Source organism: Homo sapiens, chromosome 5 (genome assembly GCF_000001405.40).
Source record: "Homo sapiens chromosome 5, GRCh38.p14 Primary Assembly".
Taxonomy (NCBI): Eukaryota; Metazoa; Chordata; class Mammalia; order Primates; family Hominidae; genus Homo; species Homo sapiens.
In genome coordinates this window covers 147,275,390-147,297,271 of record NC_000005.10, presented here as the reverse complement: position 1 = coordinate 147,297,271, position 21,882 = coordinate 147,275,390, and the positions used below count along the sequence as shown (strand labels likewise).

At 37.6% G+C, this 21,882-nt stretch overlaps 1 protein-coding gene across 8 annotated transcripts in view; it reads right to left on the bottom strand.

The window, feature by feature from the left end:
* Positions 1-21,882, bottom strand: part of STK32A (serine/threonine kinase 32A) — a 166,965-nt gene that overhangs the window by 104,719 nt on the left and 40,364 nt on the right. For 7 of the 8 annotated variants that reach the window (XM_011537577.3, NM_001112724.2, NM_001287740.2 and 4 more), the window contains exons 3-4: positions 19,093-19,148; positions 17,874-18,025 (exon numbers count right to left, since the gene is read on the bottom strand). In XM_011537577.3, the coding sequence (XP_011535879.1) occupies positions 17,874-18,025; positions 19,093-19,148 (208 nt within the window). Of the gene's footprint in view, positions 1-17,873; positions 18,026-19,092; positions 19,149-21,240; positions 21,309-21,882 lie in introns of those variants that run through there. The other variant, XM_011537576.1, reaches the window with a different exon arrangement.

Here is a 21,882-nt window from a genome sequence, read left to right as displayed (position 1 = left end):
TGCTCAACAGAGAAGCTGAGATCCTTGAAAATACGGCTGGACAGAAATATGGGTTGTATTCTATTTGCAGTGAGCAAGACATTTGTTTCTTTGAGCTGTCTTTGGTTCTGGATCTTGTGAGGACTACTTTGCCACTCTTTGGAAATGCCTAGTTGATCCTTGGTTTAGACATAACCTTGGTTAAGGTGTATTGGTTTGGTAAGTCATTGAAAAAGAACCTTTGTTTTAAAAGAAAGAATTTGAACAAAATATTTATAAAAGATAGGCCCTCAGGTAAAATAGGCTTTCTTCTTTCCCAGAGCTGTCCATGCCGAGTCCAGGCATAGAGAAGGCTTTCTTTGCCCTGTTCATTAAAGAGCTTCACAATGATGTCAGTCATCTCACCAAGAAACAAACTAAGTTGAAAAGCCCACCTATTTAACTAAGTTGGTCTGTTACAGTAGGCAGGCAGACATGGGCAAGGCAGGAGATCACCCCCAACCTCCACCAAGGAATGTCAGACAACCATTAGGTGATGGTCAGGTGGTTGTTAAACTGTCTCTCTCAAATAATATTTGGTTGCAGCCGGCGCCAGGAAAAGGCAATCTCCCAGTAGATAGAAAAACCCTGAAACTGATGATCAGTAGGTTCCTGATAAGATCTCAGGAGGTGGGCGAGTAGGCTCAAGCATGCACACTAAGAGGCAAAAATGGTAGAGTTTAACTGGTATATGACCTTCCTCTAGGAACAGTCAACTGGTAAGGAAAAAAAGATGCCTCAAGTAAGCATGCACATAACTTCAGTAAACACACTGCACATGCGGCCTCTCCCAAGTGCCGGCAGGCTGCTGCACATGCGGACAGTCCACCCCAAAGGAAGAATCAGGGGAGAAGCAACAACCCCCGAGAAGCCTGCCAACATATAAAACTCCAAGTCAAAGGTCAAACCGTGTGCTTGAATCTCTCAAGCTGCCCATCTGGCCCTCTTCCAAGTGTACTTTACTTCCTTTAATTCCTGCTCTAAAACTTTTAAAATAAACTTTCCCTTTTGCTCTAAAAATTGCCTCTGTCTTTCATTCTACCTTATGCCCCTCAGTTGAATTTTTTATTTTGAGAGTAGGCAAGAATTGAAGTTGCTGCAGACACATACAGATTCACTGCCTCTAACAGTTCTCCAAAATATACCTTGCTGGCATTTAGCTGGCTATATTGAAATTTACATTGATAAAGGAAATCTCCATTTGTAAGGGTTTCTGCCTCTGTGCACCTGGAGGAGAGGGAGAGCTGAGTCATGAGAAATTTAACATTGGTTTAAATCTATACAAGTCCTACCTTTACTTAAGATGCTTTCCTTGGCCATCTTGTCTTAACTGGACCTTTACCTATATACACCTGCTCCCTTAGTTTGAGCTCCGCTCTGTGTTTTTGAAGTGTAATTTTTATTTTTTTTTACTTTGTTTCAGCTAAGAGTCATCCCTTTAGAAGTACAAATTTAAGGTTGCCTAGCTAACAATTGTTTAGGGCTTGACAGTCTAAAGGTGGGAGAGAAACTATTGAAAACTGGCAAATGAAGAAACTTACAAAGCTATAAAATCTGCCTGTGTGTGTCTGCATGTTTATATGTGTCATGTGTATGTAAAATTTATTACAAAAATATATGAATGAGTTCTAATTGGCCAAAAGAGAAAGGAAACACTTAAATATTTTATCAGAAAAATAGAAAGTAACTCAAATCCCTTTTAGTTCACATAACTTGGGTAAATCTTCGGTAAATAAGACCAGTTAATACTGTTGGTTTAATGAAAGCCACCGTGCCTTCTGATCAGCAAAATATCTCTGTTTTAGCTTTCGGGTTCTTGCTTAGGTGGCAACTGCCTGACATTTGCAGGCTATAAAAATGATTAACAAAGAAATAACTTGATGGTGGCTACTTTTGTTTAATGAACTATTCAAGCATAATTGTTAAGAATGAATAAACTAAATTAAATGAATGTAAATGAGATAGAAGTGTATAAATGAACTTTTCAGTTTCAAAAATCTTTTTCAGTAACTAAATCGTAAAGTCATGTTAAATTAAGCATTGTGTAACCATAAAATGTCTGAGTTATATGGTGTAGAAAAGCTAAATATATTTAGATCTGTTAATAAACAAAATAATTGAGGAAACAACTTTATAAAAATTATGAAATGGTTTTCATCTATAAATACTGGCATAAAACAGCTCAAAATTACTTCCTCAGATTTCACTGTAAATTAGCGTTCCTAAGAGTTAAAATTGTAGTTATCGTATGTAATTTAAATGACTAGATATGGCCAGACGCGGTGGCTCATGCCTGTTATCCCAGCACTTTGGGAGGCCGAGGCGGGCAGATCATGCGGTCAGGAGATCGAGACCACCCTGGCAAACACAGTGAAACCCCGTCTCTCCTAAAAATACAAAAAAATAGCCAGGTGTGGTGGCACATGCCTGTAGTCCCAGCTACTTGGGAGGCTGAAGCAAGAGAATTGCTTGAACCCAGGAGGCAGAGGTTGCAGTGAGCCAAGATCGCACCATTGCACTCCAGTCTGTGCGACAGAGTGAGACTCCATCTCAAAAAGAAAAAAAGAAAAAAGAAAAAAAAAATGACTAGATATAAGAGAGACAATTCTATACATAAGGTATATAAAGAAATTAAGATGTGTTTTTGGTAAAGGGAGTTGAAATGACAGTAATTTTTCATTTGCATGAAAGAGAGCATTGTGTGGTCAAAATGATAAGGGAGAAAGGAAAGTAGATTTTGTCCTAAGATAGAATGCCAATCTAAAAAAGAAGTATACCAGCCTGGCCAATATGGTGAAACCCCGTCTGTACTAAAAATACAAAAATTAGCCCGGCATGGTGGTGCATGCCTGTAGTTTCAGCTACTCGGGAGGCTGAGGCAGAAGAATTGCTTGAACCCAGGAGGCGGAGGTTGCAGCGAGCCGAGATCATGCCACTGCACTCCAGGCTGGGCAGAGTGAGACTCTGTCTCAAAATAAAAGAAGTATAGGACAAAACTGAAGGTTTAAGCAAGTTGTGGGTTTATGGAAGATTAATCTTGTGAAAGGAATTTTGTGTGTGATCAAGTTGGCTAAAATTAGAAGAGAATTGTTTATAAGTTTTTCTAAAAAGTGAACATTAATCTCAAAAGCTCACTGGTGCAAGGCCAGAGTCTGGGCCCCTCTTTTGGAACCACAGGGTTTTCTTGAAACATTGATCTTCTCTTTAATAGAAAATTGTAATAGGTTATAAAAGATTTATGAAAATCTTATCTTCTGCAGTCAAAGCTGACTGAGATTGTATGGATTTGTTTATAATGTTTAATTAAAATTAGCTTTAGTATTGACAACACACTAATATAAATTTGGCATTCTCCTTTGAATAAGAATTTTATATAGTATTAATAAGAGACAGTAAAAGATTTGTTTGCCTTTTGATTAAACTTCAAAAAGAAAAACAGAAAAAAAAAAAGGTAACCTCTCAAAGATACCTAGCCTTGAGAGGCTTTTTAAGGTAAAATCTGAGATTCCTTATAAAAAGGAGGGAAGAGTTTGCCTCATGCTGTCCCTATTAGGTCTCTTGATTGGGAACGCAGTCTCCTTTCTACCAAATAGTAAAAGTTTTTGCTTTTGAAATCTTGGAATTATCACTTTGGCTAAATAAATGACTATTATTTTACAGTGACCTGTAAAAATATTTTGAGTAAGTTTTTTAAACCTTTGATATTTGACAAACTTTCCAAAATCATATTTCAAATTAAAATTTAGTCCTTTTTTTTTTTTTTTTTTTTTTTTTACCTCGAAATAACTTTTCAGATATGAGGTCCCCTAGAAGTTACAGAGAGGCAGATCAGGCTTATTTGATATGTTTAAATCATACAGAAAGCATTGTCAAATAAGAAATGATGTTTAACTTTCTTTGAATATATTTGTATAAATGTATTAATATGATTAATATCTGTTCCAAAATTGAATGAGATTCCAAAAGTTCCAATATGTTTTGGTATATATGATCAGTAATAATTACGATTGTTATGTCAAGTTGTTGTATGCTACAGGCATAACCAAATTTCCTGGTCAATTGTGTCTTTAACTAAGACTGCTTTAAGTCTTTTGTCATCTACAGACAATTATTATTTTACTTAGATTCTTCATAAAAAGTGGTTTATAATCAGCTACAGTCCAAAATTTGCTTATCCTTCAAGGAAATTCATGAAAAGGATTCTGAGAAGTACTCTCGAATACAAGTTTCTGAAGGTTTTGGAAATCATATCAATGGATTATGTAAAAACTTTCAGAATTCTAATATAAAAGTTCATCAGTTCGTGAAGATTGCTAACCCAATATCAAACAGAACAAGAGTTAACTACATGGAACTGAACTGATAGAGAACTAAATTTTTCTTTTTTTTTTTGAGATGAAGTTTCACTCTTGTTGCCCAGGCTGGAGTGCAATGATGTGATCTCAGCTCAACACAACCTCCACCTCCCAGGTTCAAGCAATTCTTCTGCCTCAGCCTCCCGAGTAGCTGGGATTACAGGCATGTGCCACCACGTCTGGCTAATTTTGTATTTTTAGAGGGTTTCTCCATGTTGGTCAGGCTGGTCTCGAACTCCCGACCTCAGGTGATCCACCTGCCTTGGCCTCCCAAAATGCTGGGATTATAGGCATCAGCCAATGCACCTGGCCAGGACTGAAATTTTTTTAATGACTTTTTTTGTTTGGAACATTGCTGATTCTTTTTGTTTTGTTTTCCAAAGTCAAGAATTTTTTTTGAGCTATTTAGAGCTTACAACAATTAAGTAAAGTATACTTTTATGAGCAAAATTGAAACATCTTACTCTCTACCTGATTCCTCCAGAATTTGGAAACTATTTGTGAATACTCTTTATTTATGGCAATATTGTTATTTGTGTAAGTTCAGTAAGAACCTGTTTTCTTCTGTAACAGTACACAGTTGGAGACACTGGTCATTTTACTAAGGCTGGTCATTTTACCAAGGCTTTGGGTGAAATGACATACTTTCAGATATGACCAAACTGCTTTGATGAATTGAAGTTGACTTTATAGAGCCAAATCAATAGTCCTTTTGGAAAACTGACCTGATACCTTGTCTACATGGTACCCTCACAAGTTTTTTGACCTTGCAGTAAGTAAAGAATGTCATCATTTGACAGGCCTAGAAACCTCAATATATTTCAGAACCTGAAGAAGGGAGAAATTCACCCAATTTATGTAGATGCTACAGGCAGTTTGATGGTGAATTATTGGCTTCAATATCTAGTTTAGAGAGGCTTTTAAAAGTCTAATCTGAGATTCCTTATGAAAAAGTTCCAGCAAAGCCAACTTAAAAATGCGTACATGGCCATTCATTATTTTTGTTGCACTTAATGCAAATAATTAGGCCAAATATAATACTAAAGCTTATTTTACAAGTATGTTGGTCCTGATAACATTTATCTTGGGTAGAAATAGTGAACTGAAGAGAGAGAAATTATGGTTCAGAAGAAAATTATAGCACACCTGTTTTTAAATTCAGCCCTGACCATTGTTTTCTAGTTTTTATTATTTTCCTACAATTTGATCTAAATCTTGAATTATTTCCTGCTACAACAAGTCTCTAAGAAAGGACTGGATTTTAATTTTCTTCATGATGTTTTTAGTTGACTTTCCAATGGAATAGATATTTTTTTCATTCAGGCATAGAAATTCTTTTTTTTTTTTAATTGTAATTGTTATGTGTATTATATTTCTACTATGTATAGCTCATTGTTTTACTTATTCCGAGAAAACTAACTGCATGGTATTCTGAAGCCTAGAGATGATCCCACAAGCAACAGTAGCTACATAAATTAGTGACTTGGGTGAGGTCTCATTTGTGGCACCCTGCGATGCCATCCCAATTTTGCTTCTGATGGTGTTAAAATCCCCACTAAGACTCATCCTTTCCCCTTCCCCCAAATGTGGGACAGGACCATCTGGGAATAAGACTTCCTAGCAATGCAGGACTAAGTTCCTGAACATAAAAGGAGCCAAAACTGCTTAAGTTCATCCACAATGCTTTCTTTGCAAAATCTTGATGAAAAGGGGGGAAATGAGAAAACAAAAATAGCTCAGAGCAGTCTGAGCTATATGAGATATGCACAATTTATTAGGTTTAGAGAAACATGAGTATGGGATGTCAGTCACAGCCTCAAACCCATGCTCAAGGACAGTATTTTAAAGCCATTTTGTTCCTGACTAGCTGCCTCACCCATTATCTTTGTGTTCCTGTAATTTGTGATATAAAGAATAATGTATAGTCCATCAATAGCTTACATTATTTTAATGTAAATTTTTGGTAAATAACTTAGGAACTGCCTTGTCTTTTTTTCTTAAAACCCCACTTATAACTGCTGCTAATTGGAGTGTACATTCTGGGCAAAGTGAATCTGTGCTCCCAGGTGGGCATCCTCAAGCTCTGGGCTCCAGCAAACTCGATACTTAATCATATTTTCAGAATCTCGTTATTTAAGGTTGATACCATTTATTGGGCTATGTTCAGAGTCTGAAAGGACCTTGTCACACTCTCAGTACAGGTAGTTCTTTCCAGTTAAAACAGATGATCTGGTGTCCTAATTTCCTGAAACCACATGTGGACCCCTTCTATCCACAGGGACAAAGACATGAGTAAAGAGATAGAGGCCCTGAGGAGTTGTGTGCAGCTACAGGTTTAATCTCAATTAACAAAAGCCACCTGGGGAATCAACTATGCTGGGAAAGACTGGGGCCTATTTGTTTTCAGGCTGTGGGTTGCCAGGGCTTTGTGAAGAGCCCTCAGAGACAGACGCACAAGAAGATTTTATTTACTTTTCCTGGATGCCAGCCCTGTCTGGCAGCATTCACTTGATAACATGGCCTACATTTGAAGACTGTTCCTGAGTGTAGCCAGGTCCCTGGAGGCAAGTCAGGTTGAATTTTATTTCCAAATGTTCTTTCCTCCTTAACGTCCCTGCCCCCAGACTACTTACCTTCTTTCTCTGAAACCCCAACACATACATACCCACACACCACACACACAGTTCTTCATACTTACTCTCTTTATATACTTCTCACAGTTTATATATTCATGTGCCATTTGATTAATATCAGGGCTCCGTCTATTTCTGCTCACCAAGATATCCCCATAGCATGGGTTTCTACTACAGTTAAGATTGCCAGATTTAACCAATAAAAGTACAACATGCATAATTAAACTTCAGATTCAGATAAATAAAAATTTTCAGTAAAAATATATCTCGTGATATTTGGGCCATATACTAAAAATTATTGGTTGTTTATCTGAAATTCAAATATAACTGTGCATCTTGTATTTCACCTAGCAATCAAATTATAACTTGTTTTCGATGCTCAGTAAACATATAGGTGAAAGAAGGAATGATTGAGGCTAATGCATGATCAAAAACAGAAAATCAAATGCAGACATTTTACTGAAAAGCATACACCAACATGTTAGAAGTGATTGTTACAAGGTGATAAGAATTATTGAAGAATTTTCATTTTTCTAGGTAATTTTCTGTTTTTCAAGTTGACTGCAATGAGCAGAAGAGTTTTCAAATATCACATATATATATACACACACATATATATGTGATATTCATATATATAATACATATATATGATATTGAAAAACATATGTTTGTGTGTGTATAGGTATAAATGTATAAATATATGCATATGTATGTATACATTTATACCTATTCACACACACAAACTTTTTAATCTTAACTCACTTAAAAAAGGAACAATTTGTTTACCCTCAGCCTGAAAACTAGAATTTTATAAATCTCCAGAAGCTAGGGGCATTTTAGCATGAATGAGATTATTGAAAGTATTATTGAGAGGCCTACACAGCATATCCATAAAATAGAGTACACAAAGAAGGCAGAAATTTTAAAAGTATTGCTGTTACTTTATAAATAATACAATGCTTCTTAAGCTTTTAATGCTTTCGGGTGGTAAAGATAAATCTAATAGTTAAACTCAGGACATAAAATCTTGATTAAATTGCACACAATATATTGGGGAGTCTTGATGTTTGTTTAATTTGCAGAATGAGGATAGAAAACAAAACAAAACAAGCAACATATGCTCTTATAGAGAATGAGTTGAAGATAACCCCCTTGACACTGCACATACAGCTTTCCATGATGTCCTGGGGCCAAGCACCATTTAGATTTGTCCTTTGGATGTCCACAATGAACCATAGGAGATGGGCAAGTTCAGAATGTCATAACTTCATGAAGTAAGGAAGGAAAGAACGAATATTTGTAAGACACCTGTTACTATGTGCTGGGTACTGGCCATAGCACTTTATTCATTTCATTTATAAATGTAAAGTTACACACATTAACCCTATCTTATAACCATGTGACTTAAAAATGATGAAGTAAATTACTCACTGATATGGTTTGCATCTCTATCCCCACCCAAATCTCATGTTGAATTGTAATCCCCAATGCTGGAGGTGGGGCCTGGTGGGAGGTGATTGGATCATGGGGGTGGATCCTCATGAATGGTTTCACACCATCCTCTTGGTGCTGTTCTCGTGATAGAGGTCTTAAGAGAGCTGGTCATTTAAAAGTGTGTAGTGACTCTCTCCTCCTCTCTCTTGCTCCTGCTCCCACCATGTGAGATGCCCTGCTCCCCTTTTTGCCTTCCACAATGATTGGAAGCTTCCTGAGTCCTCCCCAAAGCAGAAGCCACTATGCTTCCTGCACAGCCTGCAGAACCATGAGCCACTTAAACTTCTTTTCTTTAAAAATTACCCAGTCTCAGGTATTTCTTTATAGCAATGTGAGAACTGACTAATACACTCACAATCACACCTTCAAAAGCACTGCAAGATGGTTTATAAATGTGGAAAGATAAACTTACATTGAATATATTGTACTTACTAAAACAAAAAGCATTTATTAGGAAGAATGATACAGATTTGTGAAGATTTTTCTCATGGTTTGGAAGACAAAGGGAGTTGCTGTTGTACTTTAAGAATTCCCCCTCCCAGTTAGTTTCTAGTTTTGAATGTAGTACCAGAATCACTGGGTGGAGGTAAGTCTCCTCTCTTTCTTCTATCATTGTTAATGATGCCTAGTGTTCCACTGTGAGGTTCAATGTGAGAAGTGAGAAGGAAAGAATAGGTTATATGTCATGTTATCACCAGGTCAGTATGCATGGAGAACAGAATGTTGTCTGGAATGACACCAAATTAGCAAACAGCAAAATCTATCATCTTTGGCCAGCTTAAAGCCTCACAATACCCATTTTCTTAAAAAAAGGAACAGAATGAAATCAACTTTGCCCACACAGCGATGAAAGACAAATATGAGAAGGTAAAATGCTAAGGCCTTATCATGGGTCCCTGGTCTTAAAAAAAAAAAAATTAGTCGGTTAAACTTTTTAAGAAGAAAAATGTGACTTTGAACAAAGGGAGGTTGTGAAGTGACAGTATCTTGTCATTCTCAGGATGCAGAGAGAGGGGAAGAAAGGCAATTTGATGATTGCTAAGGGTAGGGAAGAAAGAGCTGCATCCATTTTAGCTTTTTACATGGCAGCATTTTGAATAGGCCACTCTAAGATACTGATTAAATACACTGAGCTTAAGCTGAAATTAGACTCTACCATATCCGAGTAGTGCATAAACTGTAATAGACCTATTTCCAAGTCACATAAAACCATCTTCTTTTCAACTGTGGCATAGAGGCTTTGAGCAAATTGTATATTAAATGAACTGTAATAATTAAAGATGGATGGAGGCAGGTTTTATGTACTGATTTCTCCAGAAGGATGTCCCTAAACACAGAGTAAAACCTCAATTATTTTTCCATTAGCATTCTCTGAATAAAGACCCTTTTTTTTCTTTGCTGGTAAGTCAGAACTTCTTGGTATGCATATTTAAATAACAGTCATCCTGAATTAGCTTTAAGAAACACCACTTAACATAATGGACGCATTAAAATGTAAAATAAAATGAAGGTGACACACAAAGACCTTGACACACAAGAAAAGAACAGGAGGTAACAGATACTGCAAGCTTCTCTGCCATTTTCTATGCCTTGGATTATGGAAATAGCTTGGAGCGCAGATCACAGTCACTTAATGTCTAGTCATTGATACAAGTTAGCTTCAGCTCTGCAAAAGCTATTTGTTGACAAAGGAAGCACCTATCCTTGTCTAACTTACAGGTATATATGTGGCTGCCTAAGAAATACGCTACAAAGCAACAGTTTTATTGCCAGTTATTTTAAGGGAGAAAGTGCTTCGTATAAATTCTAAATATCAACCTCAAGTCAGCTGATGAGGCCAAGCTTTGTAACCAAAGTTCCTCCCGTGCAGTTCATGGGGAAAGAAAGTATCTAATAACTAGTAAGACATCTGAACTCCTTCCCAGTCAGCATATTTAATTACAATGTTTAAAAATATATATATATTGACCTCAAGGACAAGGGGAACTGTGACAACTGACCAAGAAGTATTTGTTAGTGACAATAAAAGAAAAATGTTCTTTCACTATAAAGCCAAAGAAACTAAGGAGAACAAAAGACCCTGAGGAAGATCCTAATGAGAATTTGACAAATGCTTGCCTAGAAATCAAGATGCATTTATGTAACAGTAGGGATGAAGATGAAAGTGAGACAAGAATAATAAAGGGTGGTAGCAGGAGAAAAGAAAATTCCAGACAGCAGTTTCACATGACTAGCAAAAGGAAAATGTTGAAACAGCTGCATAAACTGGGACTGATAAGAACCTGAAAAACCAGGGTGTAAGCCAAGCTGGCTAAGTCCGACTAAACCTAATGTGGTGCTGGATTATTTTTCCATAAGTTATTGGGGTAAAGGTGGTTTTGGTTACATGGGTAAGTTCTTTAGTGGTGATTGTGAGATTTTGTTGCACCCATCACCTGAGCAGTATACACTACACCACATTTGTAGTCTTGTATCCCTCGCCCCCCTCCCACTCTTCCCCCTAAGTCTCCAAAGTCCATTGTATCATTCTCATTGCTTTGCATCCTCATAGCTTAGCTTCCACATATCAGTGAGAACATATGATGTTTGGTTTTCAATTCCTGAATTACGTCACTTAGAATAATAGTCTCCAATCTCATCCAGGTCACTGCAAATGCTGTTAGTTCATTCCTTTTTATGGCTGCATAGTATTCCATCATGTATACATATACCACAGTTTCTTTATCCACTCATTGATTGATGGGCATTTGGGTTGCAACTCTGTGCTCTGTAAACATGCATGTGTAAGTATCTTTTTTGAATAATGACTTATTTTCCTCTGAGTAGATACCCAGTAGAGGGATTGCTGGATCAAATGGTAGTTCTACTTTTAGTTCTTTAAGTAATTTCCACACTGTTTTCAATAGTGGCTGTACTAGTTTACATTCCCACCAGCAGTGTAGAAGTGTTCCCTGTTCACTGCATCCATGCCAACATCTGCTGTTTTTTGATTTTTTTTTTATTATAACCATTCTTGCAGGAGTAAGGTGGAATCACATTATGGTTTTGATTTGCATTTCCCTGATCATTAGTGATGTTGAGCATTTTTTCATATGTTTGCTGGCCATTTGTATATCTTCTTTTGAGAACTGTCTATTCATGTCCTTAGCCCACTTTTTGATAGGATTGTTTTTTCCTTACTGATTTACTTGAGTTCATTGTAGATTCTGGATATTCATCCTTTGTCAGATGTATAGATTGTGAAGATTTTCTTCCACTCTGTGGGCTGTTTGCTGACTTCCGTTTGCCATGCAAAAGCTCTTTAGTTTAATTAGGTACCAGCAATTTATCTTTGTTTTTATTGCATTTGCTTTTGGGTTCTTGGTCATGAAACCCTTGCTTAAGCCAATGTCTAGAAGGGTTTTTCCAATGTTATCTTCTAGAATTTTTATAGTTTCAGGTCTTAGGTTTAAGTCCTTAATCCATCTTCAGTTGATTTTTGTATAAGGTGAGAGATGACGATCCAGTTTCATTCTCCTACTTGTGGCTATTCAATTATCCCAGCACCATTTGTTGAAAAGGGTGTCCTTTTCCCACTTTATGTTTTCATTTGCTTTATCAAAGATCAGTTGGCTGTAAGTATTTGAGTTTATTTCTGTGTTCTCTATTCTGTTCCATTGGTCTATGTGCCTATTTTTGTACCAGTACCATGCTGTTTTGGTGACTGTGGGCTTATGGTATAATTTGAAATCAGGTAGTGTGATGCCTCCAGATTTGATCTTTTTGCTTAGTCTTGCTTTGGCTATGCAGGTTCTTTTTTGGTTCCATATGAATTTTAGAATTGTTTTTTCTAATTCTGTGAAGAATGATGGTGGTATTTTGATGGAAATTGCATTGAATTTATAGATTGCTTTTGGCAGTATGGTTATTTTTCACAATACTGATTTTACTCATCCATGAGCATGGGACATGTTTCCATTTGTTTGTGTCATCTATGATTCCTTCCAGCAGTGTTTTGTAATTTTCCTTGTAGAGGTCTTTCTACTCCTTGGTTAAGTATATTCCTAAGTATTTGTTTTTTTTTTGTTGTTTTTTTGTTTTGTCTTGTTTTGTTTTGTTTTTTTTTGCAGCTATTGTAAAAGGGATTGAGTTCTTGATTTGGTTCTCTACTTGGTTGCTGTTGGTGTATAGAAGAGCTACTGATTTGTGTACATTAATCTTGTATCCGGAAACTTTGCTGAATTCTTTTATCAGTTCTAGGAGCTTTCTGGAAGAGTCCTTAGGGTTTTCAAGTTAAACGATCATATCGCCAACAAGCAGTGACAGTTTGACTTCCTCTTTACTGATTTAGATGACCTTTATTTCTTTCTCTTGTCTTATTGCTCTGGCTAGGACTTCCAGTACTACATTGAAGAGGAGCAGTGAGAGTGGGCATACTTGTCTCATTCTGGTTCTCAGAGGGAATGTGTTCAGTTTTATGTTGGCTGTGGGTTTGTCATAGATGGCTTTTATTACATTAAGGCCTATGTCCCTTGTATGCTGATTTTGCTGAGGGTTTTAATCATAAAAGGATGCTGGATTTTGTTGAATGCTTTTTCTGCACCTACTGAGATGATCATGTGATTTTTTTAAAAATTCTGTTTATGTGGTGTGTCACATTTATTGACTTGTGTATGTTAAGCCATTCCTGCATCCCTGATATGAAACCCACTTGATCATGGTGGATTATCTTTTTGATATGCTGTTGGATTCAGTTAGCTAGTATTTTGTTAAGGATTTCAGCATCTGTGTTCATCAGTGATATTGGTCTGCAGTTTTCTTTTTAGGTTATGTTCTTTCATGGTTTTGGTATTAGGGTGATGCTGGCTTCATAGGATGAATTAGGGAGGTTTCCTTAGTGTCAAAAGAATTGGTACCAATTCTTCTTTGAATGTCTGATATAATTCTGCTGTGAATCCATCTGGTCCTGGGCATTTTTCTTGGTAATTTTTAAATTACCGTTTCAATCTCGCTGCTTGCTATTGATCTGTTCAGGGTATTTAATTCTTCCTGATTTAAGCTAGGAGAGTTATATTTTTCCAGGAATTTATCCATATCTTCTAGGTTTTCTAGTTTATGTGCATAAAGGTGTTCATAGTAGCCTTGAATGATCTTTTGTATTTCAGTGGTGTCAGTTGTAATATCTCTTGTTTCATTTCTTAGTGAGGTTATTTAGATTTTCTCCCTTGTTTTCTTGGTTAATCTTGCCAATAGTCTACCAATTTTGTTTATCTTTTCAAAGAACCATCTTTTTGTTTTATTTATCTTTCTTTTTTTTTTTTTGTTTCAATTTCATTTAGTTCTGCTTTGATCTTGGTTATTTCCTTTCTTCTGCCGGGTTTGGGTTTGGTTTATTCTTGTTTCTCTAGTCCCTTCAGGTGTGACCTTAGAGTGTCAGTTTGTGCTCTTTCAGTCTTTTCAATGTGGGCGTTTAGGGCTATCAACTTTGCTTTTAGCACCGCCTTTGCTGTATCCTAGAGGTTTTGATAGGTTGTGTCATTATTGTCATTCAGTTTGAAGAATTTTTAAATTTTCATCTTGATTTTGTTTTTGACCCAATGCCATTCAGGAGCAGGTTATTTAATTTCCATGTATTTGCATGGTTTTGAAGTTTCCTTTTGGAGTTCATTTCCAGTTTTATTCCACTGTGGTCTGAGAGAATGTTGATATAATATGAATTTTCTTAAATTTATTGAGGCTCATTTTATGGCCTATCATATGGTCTATCTTGGAGAAACTTCCATGCTCTGTTGAATAGAATGTGTATTCTGCAGTTGTTGGATGAAATGTTCTGTATATATCTGTTAAATCCATTTGTTTCAAGGTATAGTTTAAATCCATTGTTTCTTTGTTGACTTTCTCTCTTGATGACCTGTCTAGTGCTGTCAGTGGAGTATTAAAATCCTTCACTATTATTGTGTTGCTGTCTGTCTCATTTCTTAGGTCAATTAGTAATTGTTTTATAAATTTGGGAGCTCCAGTGTTAGGTGCTTATATGTTTAGGATTGTGACATTTTCCTGTTGAACAAGGCCTTTTACCATTATATAATGTCCCTCTTTGTCTCTCTTTTAACTGCTGTTACTTTAAAGTTTGTTTTGTCTGATATAAGAATAGCTACCCCTCCTCGCTTTTGGTGTCCATTTGCATGAAATTCCTTTCCCCACACCTTTACTTTATGTTTATGTGAGTACTTATGTACTAGGTGAGTCTCCTGAAGGCAGCACATAGTAGGTTGGTGAGTTCTTATCCATTCTGTGATTCTGTATCTTTTAAGTGGAGCATTTAGGCCATTTACATTCAATGTTAGTATTGAAATGTGAGGTACCGTTGCATTCATCATGCTCTTTGTTGCCTGTGTACTTTGGGTTTTTTTCCAAAAAACCAAAAAAGAGCTAAAGCTGTTCTCCCACAAACAGACCTTCAGCTTCTCCAGTGGGGGTGTGTGTTCAGGAAAGGATGCTCTTCCTTTCCTACTTCCACAGTTGGAGCACTCACATTTTTTGGGGGGTGGTCTCCTGGGTCCTGCAGATTTTTTTGGTTTTGTTTTTGCTTTTTAACTTGTATTTTTATTTTGTAGATCCTCTGTGATTTATGCTTTAAAGAGGTTCCATTTTGATGTGTTTCCAGGATTTGTTTTAAGATTTAGAGCTCCTTTTAGCGGTTCTTGTAGTGGTGACTTGGTAATGGCAATTTCTCTCAGCATTTGTTTGTCTGAAAATGACTGTATCTTTCCTTCATATATGATGCTTAGTTTCACTGGATACAAAATTCTTGGCTAATAATTGTTTTGAGGAGGCCAGAGATAGGGCTCCAATCCCTTCTAGCTTGTAGGGTTTCTGCTGAGAAATCTGCTGTTAATCTAATAGGTTTTCCTTTGTAGGTTTCCTGGTGCTTCTGTCTCATATCTCTTAAGATTCTTTCCTTCATCTTAACTTTGGATAATCTGATGACAGTGTGCCTAAGCAAATATCTTTTTGCGATGAATTACCCAGGTGTTTTTTGTGCTTCTTGTATTTGGATGTCTAGATTTCTAGCAAGGCCGGGGAAGTTTTCCTCAATTATTCCCTCAGATATGTTTTCCAAGCTTTTAAAATTCTCTTCTTCCTCAGGGACACCCATTATTCTTAGGTTTGGTCATTTAACATAATATCAGACTTCTTGGGAGTTTTGTTTATATTTTCTTATTCTTTTTGCTTTGTCTTTGTTTGATTGGGTTAATTTGAAGACTTTGTCTTCGAGCTCTGAATTTCTTTCTTCTACTTGTTCAATTCTATTGCTGACACTTTCTAGAGCATTTTGCAATTTTTAAAGTGTGTCTAAAGTTTCCTGAATTTTGTATTGTTTTTTCTTTAAGCTATCTATTTGCTTGAATATTTCTCCCTTCACTTCTTGTATCATATTTTGGATTCCCTTGCACTGAGCTTCACCTTTCTCTGGTTCCTCCCTGATTAGCTTAATAGCTAACCTCCTGAATTCTTTTTCAGGTAAATCAGGGATTTCTTCTTGGTTTGGATCCATTGCTGGTGAACTAGTGTGATTTTTGGGGGGCATCAAGAGCCTTGTTTTGTCATATTACTGGTTCCTTCTCACTTGGGTAGGCTCTTTCAGAGGGAAAGTCTTGTTCAGACTCTTTCGTCCCACTGGGTGTTCCTTTGATGTAGTACTCTCCTCCTTTCCTATGGATATGGTTTCTTGTGAGCTGAACTGCAGTGATTGTTATCTCTATTCTGGGTCTAGCCACCCAGCTAGCCTACCCAGCTCCAGGCTGGTACTGGAAGTCGTCTGCACAGAGTCCTGTGATGTGAACCATCTATGAGTCTCTCAGCTGTGGATACCAGTGCCTATTCTGGTGGAGGTGGCAGGGAGTACAATGGACTCTGTAAGGGTTCTTAGCTTTGGTTAATATTCTATTTTTGTGCTGTTGTCCTCCTGCCAGGAGGTGGTGCTTTTCCAGAGAGCATCAGCTTTGGTATTATGGGGAGAAACTGGCAGTGGGCAGGGCCCTAGAACTCCCAAGATTATATGCCCTTTGTTTTCCGATACCAGAGTGAGTAGGAAGGACCATCAGGTGGGGGCAGGGCTAGGTGTCTCTGAGCTCAGACTCCTTTGGGTGGGCCTTGCTGCTGCTGCTGCTGTGGGGAATGGGGGTGGGATTCCCAGGTCACTGGAGTTGTGTACCTAGGAGGATTATGGCTGTCTCTGCAGAAACATGCAGATTGTCAGGAAGTGGGGAAAAGCTGGCAGTCACAGGCCTCACCCAGCTCCCATGAAAACCGAAGGGCCGGTCTCACTCCCACCGTGCTTTCCACCACCCCCCTCCCCCATCCCCAACCCCCCTCCCCCGCCAACACAGCTCCCAGGTTGTTTCTAAGTAGAGAAGCAATACCTGCTTGAAAACCTGCCCCAGGCTCCCCGCTCCCAGCTGGGAAATAAAAGGGCTTGGTTTATCCCCTGCCCCCGGAGTCTGCACACTGGATTTGTGCCCTCTCCTGAGTTCTGGCCAGGCGCTTTCTCACCCTGTTCAAATTGTCACCAAGTTCAGCTAGAGATTTGCTTCTCCCTATGGAATTTTACCCCCGCTCCTCTCCCATTGGATCCCTGTGGTGCCAGGCAGGAATGGCCTGCTTGTGGACCCAGCAAGCTCCCAGGGCCTTTCTGCTGCTTCTTCTCCCCGTGTATTTCACTGGGCTCTTCAAGTCCACTCAGCTCCAGGTAAAGTCAGAAACTTCTCCAGCAAACAGACCTTCAGCTTCTCCAGTGGGGGTGTGTGTTTGGGAGAGGAGGGTCTCTCTTTCCCACCTCCACAGTTGGGGTACTCACAGTTTTGGGGGAGTTGCCTGGGTCCTGCAGGAGCAGTCGTTTCCTTCAGAGAGTCTGTGGGTCCTCTCCATTGTGCTGGATTTGACCTAGGTTTCACCTAGGACCTCATCATACACTCATTAACATACTAAATCATACACCCACCAGCACCATGACAGTTCCAGGAACATTCATATTTGGTGTAAAAATAGCTGGCACCACAGTTCCAAGAAATCTCCATCTTTTTTCAGGAATCATCATGAATGTTTCACCCCTTGGTTAAAGAAACCCATTATGGCAGCAGCCTCAAACCCCCCCTTACATGACATTCGCTGGAGTTCACCCATGCTCCCCTCTCTTGAGTGTGTACTTTTCCACTTTGCAATAAATCTCTGTACTTTCACTGTTTTCCAACTCATCCTTGAACTCTTTCTTGCAATTGTGTCAAGAGCCTGGATACCAGCCAGGGCTGAGGTCCCAGAGGCATTTGGGGACCTCCCCTAGCCCACCGATAACAGGAGTGTCTCTATTCAGAGGTCCAGTAAAATTACTCACCACAAATTAACCAGGAAAGGGTGCTCCAGACCCTGCATGATCTGGAGTTCCTTGAAGACATTTCTCACTTCATTGCGCTCCACGCACTTTTGTTTATTCATGTACTTCATTGCGTACATCTTCTTGGTATCATTCTTCTGTACAATGCAGACCTAATGGTGAAAACCCGAGTGAGAGAGTGATTAGGGAGATAATGGATCATGGTGATGAGAGACAGAACAAGACATGTTCTTTGCTGTGGCTTGGATCCTTAACATTTGCAAATTATATGATGTTAAAAGCTCCCACTTAGCTCTGATTTTAGATTAAAAATTTCATTTTCTTTTCTATGCACCAGTTCAATTCTTGGATCTCTTTTTTCTCAAACAATTTTGCCTGGTATTGCTTTTTGGGCTTTTAAGACAGCATTTTGGTGAAAATAGCTGCCTCCATGTCAGGAATATTCCAATAACAAGTAACATCCTTAATCCTGCTTTGAGTGACTGAAATAGACATGACTGAACTGTCAAGCTGAATAATACTGTGCAAAGAATTTCTGTTTACAACCATACATGATATAACCAAAAAGGACTTTAAGGACTGGAAAAACACTAAATATGATGTCCATGTTTTTGAAATTTCTTTAGAGGTCTGTATAATGCCTGAAAAAGTAAACAGAAAATGATTTTAAAATGCAAGTTTTATATGAAATATTATTCTCTTAAAGTATGTCTCCATTGAGAAACTAGTAATCAGGGTTTGAATACAGAAGTTTCTTGCAAAAAAAATTAAACTGAATATGTATTTTTCTTAAGATAAAAACATTAGACAAATGAGGAAACAAATAGAAATCGGGTGACTTCTTTCCCACATGAAAATAAGTAACTCTTCCATAAACAAGATAACTATTACTGGGCATACAGCTGGTAGAATCTGAAAATGATTCTGAAATCTTCATCTCCTTTAGGGTAGAGAGAAAAGCCTTAAAGTTTACTGAGAGTAAACAGATTTGAGTTTAATGAGATTATTCTGACAACAGTATATGTTCATTATGTAGCTGCCTGTCACACGCTTTTCTTAAACTGTGGTGACAATTTTATAAAAATCCATTACAAAAACATTTTCACTTAATTATCTTTCCTTGCGGTCCCAGCAACTCAATAATGTGAACATTTCTGGACCCTCTGTTCCCTGGGCTACATAACCCTGCTGGTGGTTAATCATTTCAATTTGTTCTCACCTTCCCAAAACTGCCTTTCCCAATGGCTCGCAAAATTTCAAAGTGGTCAAAGTTGACTGTAAAACAAAAAAGAAGAATATCATGAGTAATTATCAATTTCTCTTTAGTAGCTAATAAATAATAAAGATTGGACTAAACTGAAGTATCTTGTCTAAAACATGATCTCAGACTACCTTAAAATGCCAATCTAATCATCCAGTAAACATCTGTTGAACACTTACTATGTATTAATCCTAGTGCTTAGTGCTGGGAATACAGTAATAATAGAGTAAACATAGAATCTCTGCCTTTATGGAGTCTGTAGTCAAGTGAGGGCCCTGTAAAGACGGAGACTCTTATAGACTAAATGGTCACAAAAATAAATGGAAAATTCAAGCTCCCACTGCAAGTTAAGAAGAGAGGTCATGGGGCTCTAAGAACATATCACAGAGAATTTGACATAGGCAGCAAGGTAAGGAGAAACATCTCTGAGCACAGAATGACTTCAGAAAGATCTGCTCCCAGGTGCATCCTATGTATGGCTTTACCGAGGATCAGCACTTTAAAATGTTCTCCTTGCCTATTTTCTTACTACAACCACTCTTTTGTATCTAAGTAATTTCAATTTTCCCAAGTAGGAAAATATTACACCTCTAAGTGTGTAGCATGAACTAATCTCCAAAGTGCAGACTTGTAACAGATTAGAATGGATATGTGTGCAGAAGTCCACTGAATTTTGCTTTGAAGTAGAGTCGATCCTCCACGTCTGAAATTTTAAAATTTCAGTCCCTAGAAGAAGCAATTGTTGATTAGTTTATAGGTAGCATGGTTTTTTGAGTCAATGCTCGTGAAATGTATAATGATGAGAAGAACAAATCATAGATTCTCCTGTGCAGGTGACAATCTTTGGTTTACTGCCTTGATAACTGAGAAAATGTTTGACTCTGTTTCCTGGTTTTTGAAATAAGGATTTAGATGAGTTAAATTCCAAATAAGGGATTTTAAGTTTATTCAGAAAATATTGTGAAACACTAAATGGTATATAATTTGTCTCTTTAAAAGAACTAGTTTTTCTCTATTATCTAGAATAATTAGATAAGCTCCTTCTGAAGGAAAAAGTTTGGCTAGAGTGCCTTCAAAGTCTTTCCAAGATATCTGAGAGTCAAACATTTTAATGATGTGACTTAATCATCACTTTCTCTTCTCAACTCCAAATTCCCTTTCTATCACAAAACCCACTTAGTCATGTGAGGCAGCATGTATATTACAAATAATCCTGTACTTGGACTCAAAATAATGAAGAGACTGGAGATAAATGACAGACTCTTTGAGCCTCCATTTTCTCAAAAGAAAAAAATTGGACTGACTCTCCTAGATCAGAAGAAAACACCTTGTACTAAGAAAGCACTACTAAAGCTGTTTACGTACTTAACATAGTTACTCAAGGGAATGACTTCTCTTCTGAAACTCCTTGACTTCTGAGTTTATTTCATCCACTATAGCATAAGCTTAATGAGGGTGGGGATGATATGTCCTTCTGCTCACCCTGGTTCCCCTGCCACCTCAGAAAATTCCTGGCTTAGGTAGTTGAAGGCATAACTCTTTGCAGTTCTCACTTAGCCAGGTCTTAGCAAATAAATAAAACTAAGCTATAAGAATACACAAGAACCCCAGAACAATTACTTCTTATAAATATGGATAGTGTGAACATTTGGATTCTCTAAGGCAGTGTTTTTGAGCTGTGAGTCAAAACCCATTAATGAGTTATGAAATAAATGTAGCTAAAATAAGAAGTACTAAAAATTTAATTAAATAGAATAGAAAATACCAGAAATGCCTCAAATGTAGTAAGCATAGTACTGCCTCTGAAACTGTTGTTTCCATTTCATATACTTGAGTAGACATATATATACAATCCTGGCTTCATTTACTATGTCATGATATGTTTTTTGGCTTATGTTTTACCTTGGGTTGTGGTCAGAATAATTTTAAAAACACTTCAGTAAGTTTTCTCTTGAGTTTCATACTGAAATAACCAAAGCAATGATTTTCTTACACCCATTACATGAATCTGAGTTGTGTATTATTTACCACAAGAGTGTTAAAAAAAGCTGACCAGGATTTATTTGCAAATTCAAGATTTTATCTTGAGCAAATCCAATAACTCACAGTGATTTCTCCACTGCCAGTCTAGCCTAGAATGCCATGATGACATTTTGAATCTCCAAGGATGCAGCAGGTACCTAGAAAGCATGAAGTTCCATGTTGATATTAATCCATTTTGTGAACCACCTCCTTTCATATACCATTTTAACCTTACTGAAAATGATACAGGATTACATGTCAGGATCCTGGTAAATTTATACTAGCAAAACTGCTTTAACTAAATGTGACCTCCCAAAGGTCACTTCTCAGAAAAGGGACAAGCCTAAAGCCTTAGAGCAATTCATCTCATTTATGCCTTTATTAAAGAAAAACACAGCCTCTAGTCTAGTGCCGTACTGTCTGAAGTCACTTCCTTGTATAACAGTACAATCTAATGGGAAAGCCAATGATAGATTAAAAGTGACTATAAGAGGCTGGATGCAGTCACTCACACCTGTAATCCCAGCACTTTGGGAGGCCGAGGCAGGAGCATTGCTTGAGCCCAGGAGTTCAAGACTAGCTTGGGTAATGTAGTGAGGCCCCATCTCTACAAAAAATTAAAAATTTGCTAGGCATGGTGGTGCACATCTGTAGTCCCAGCTACTCAGAAATTGAGGCAGGGGGAACTTGAACCTAAGAGGTTGAGGCTGCAGTTATCTGTGATTG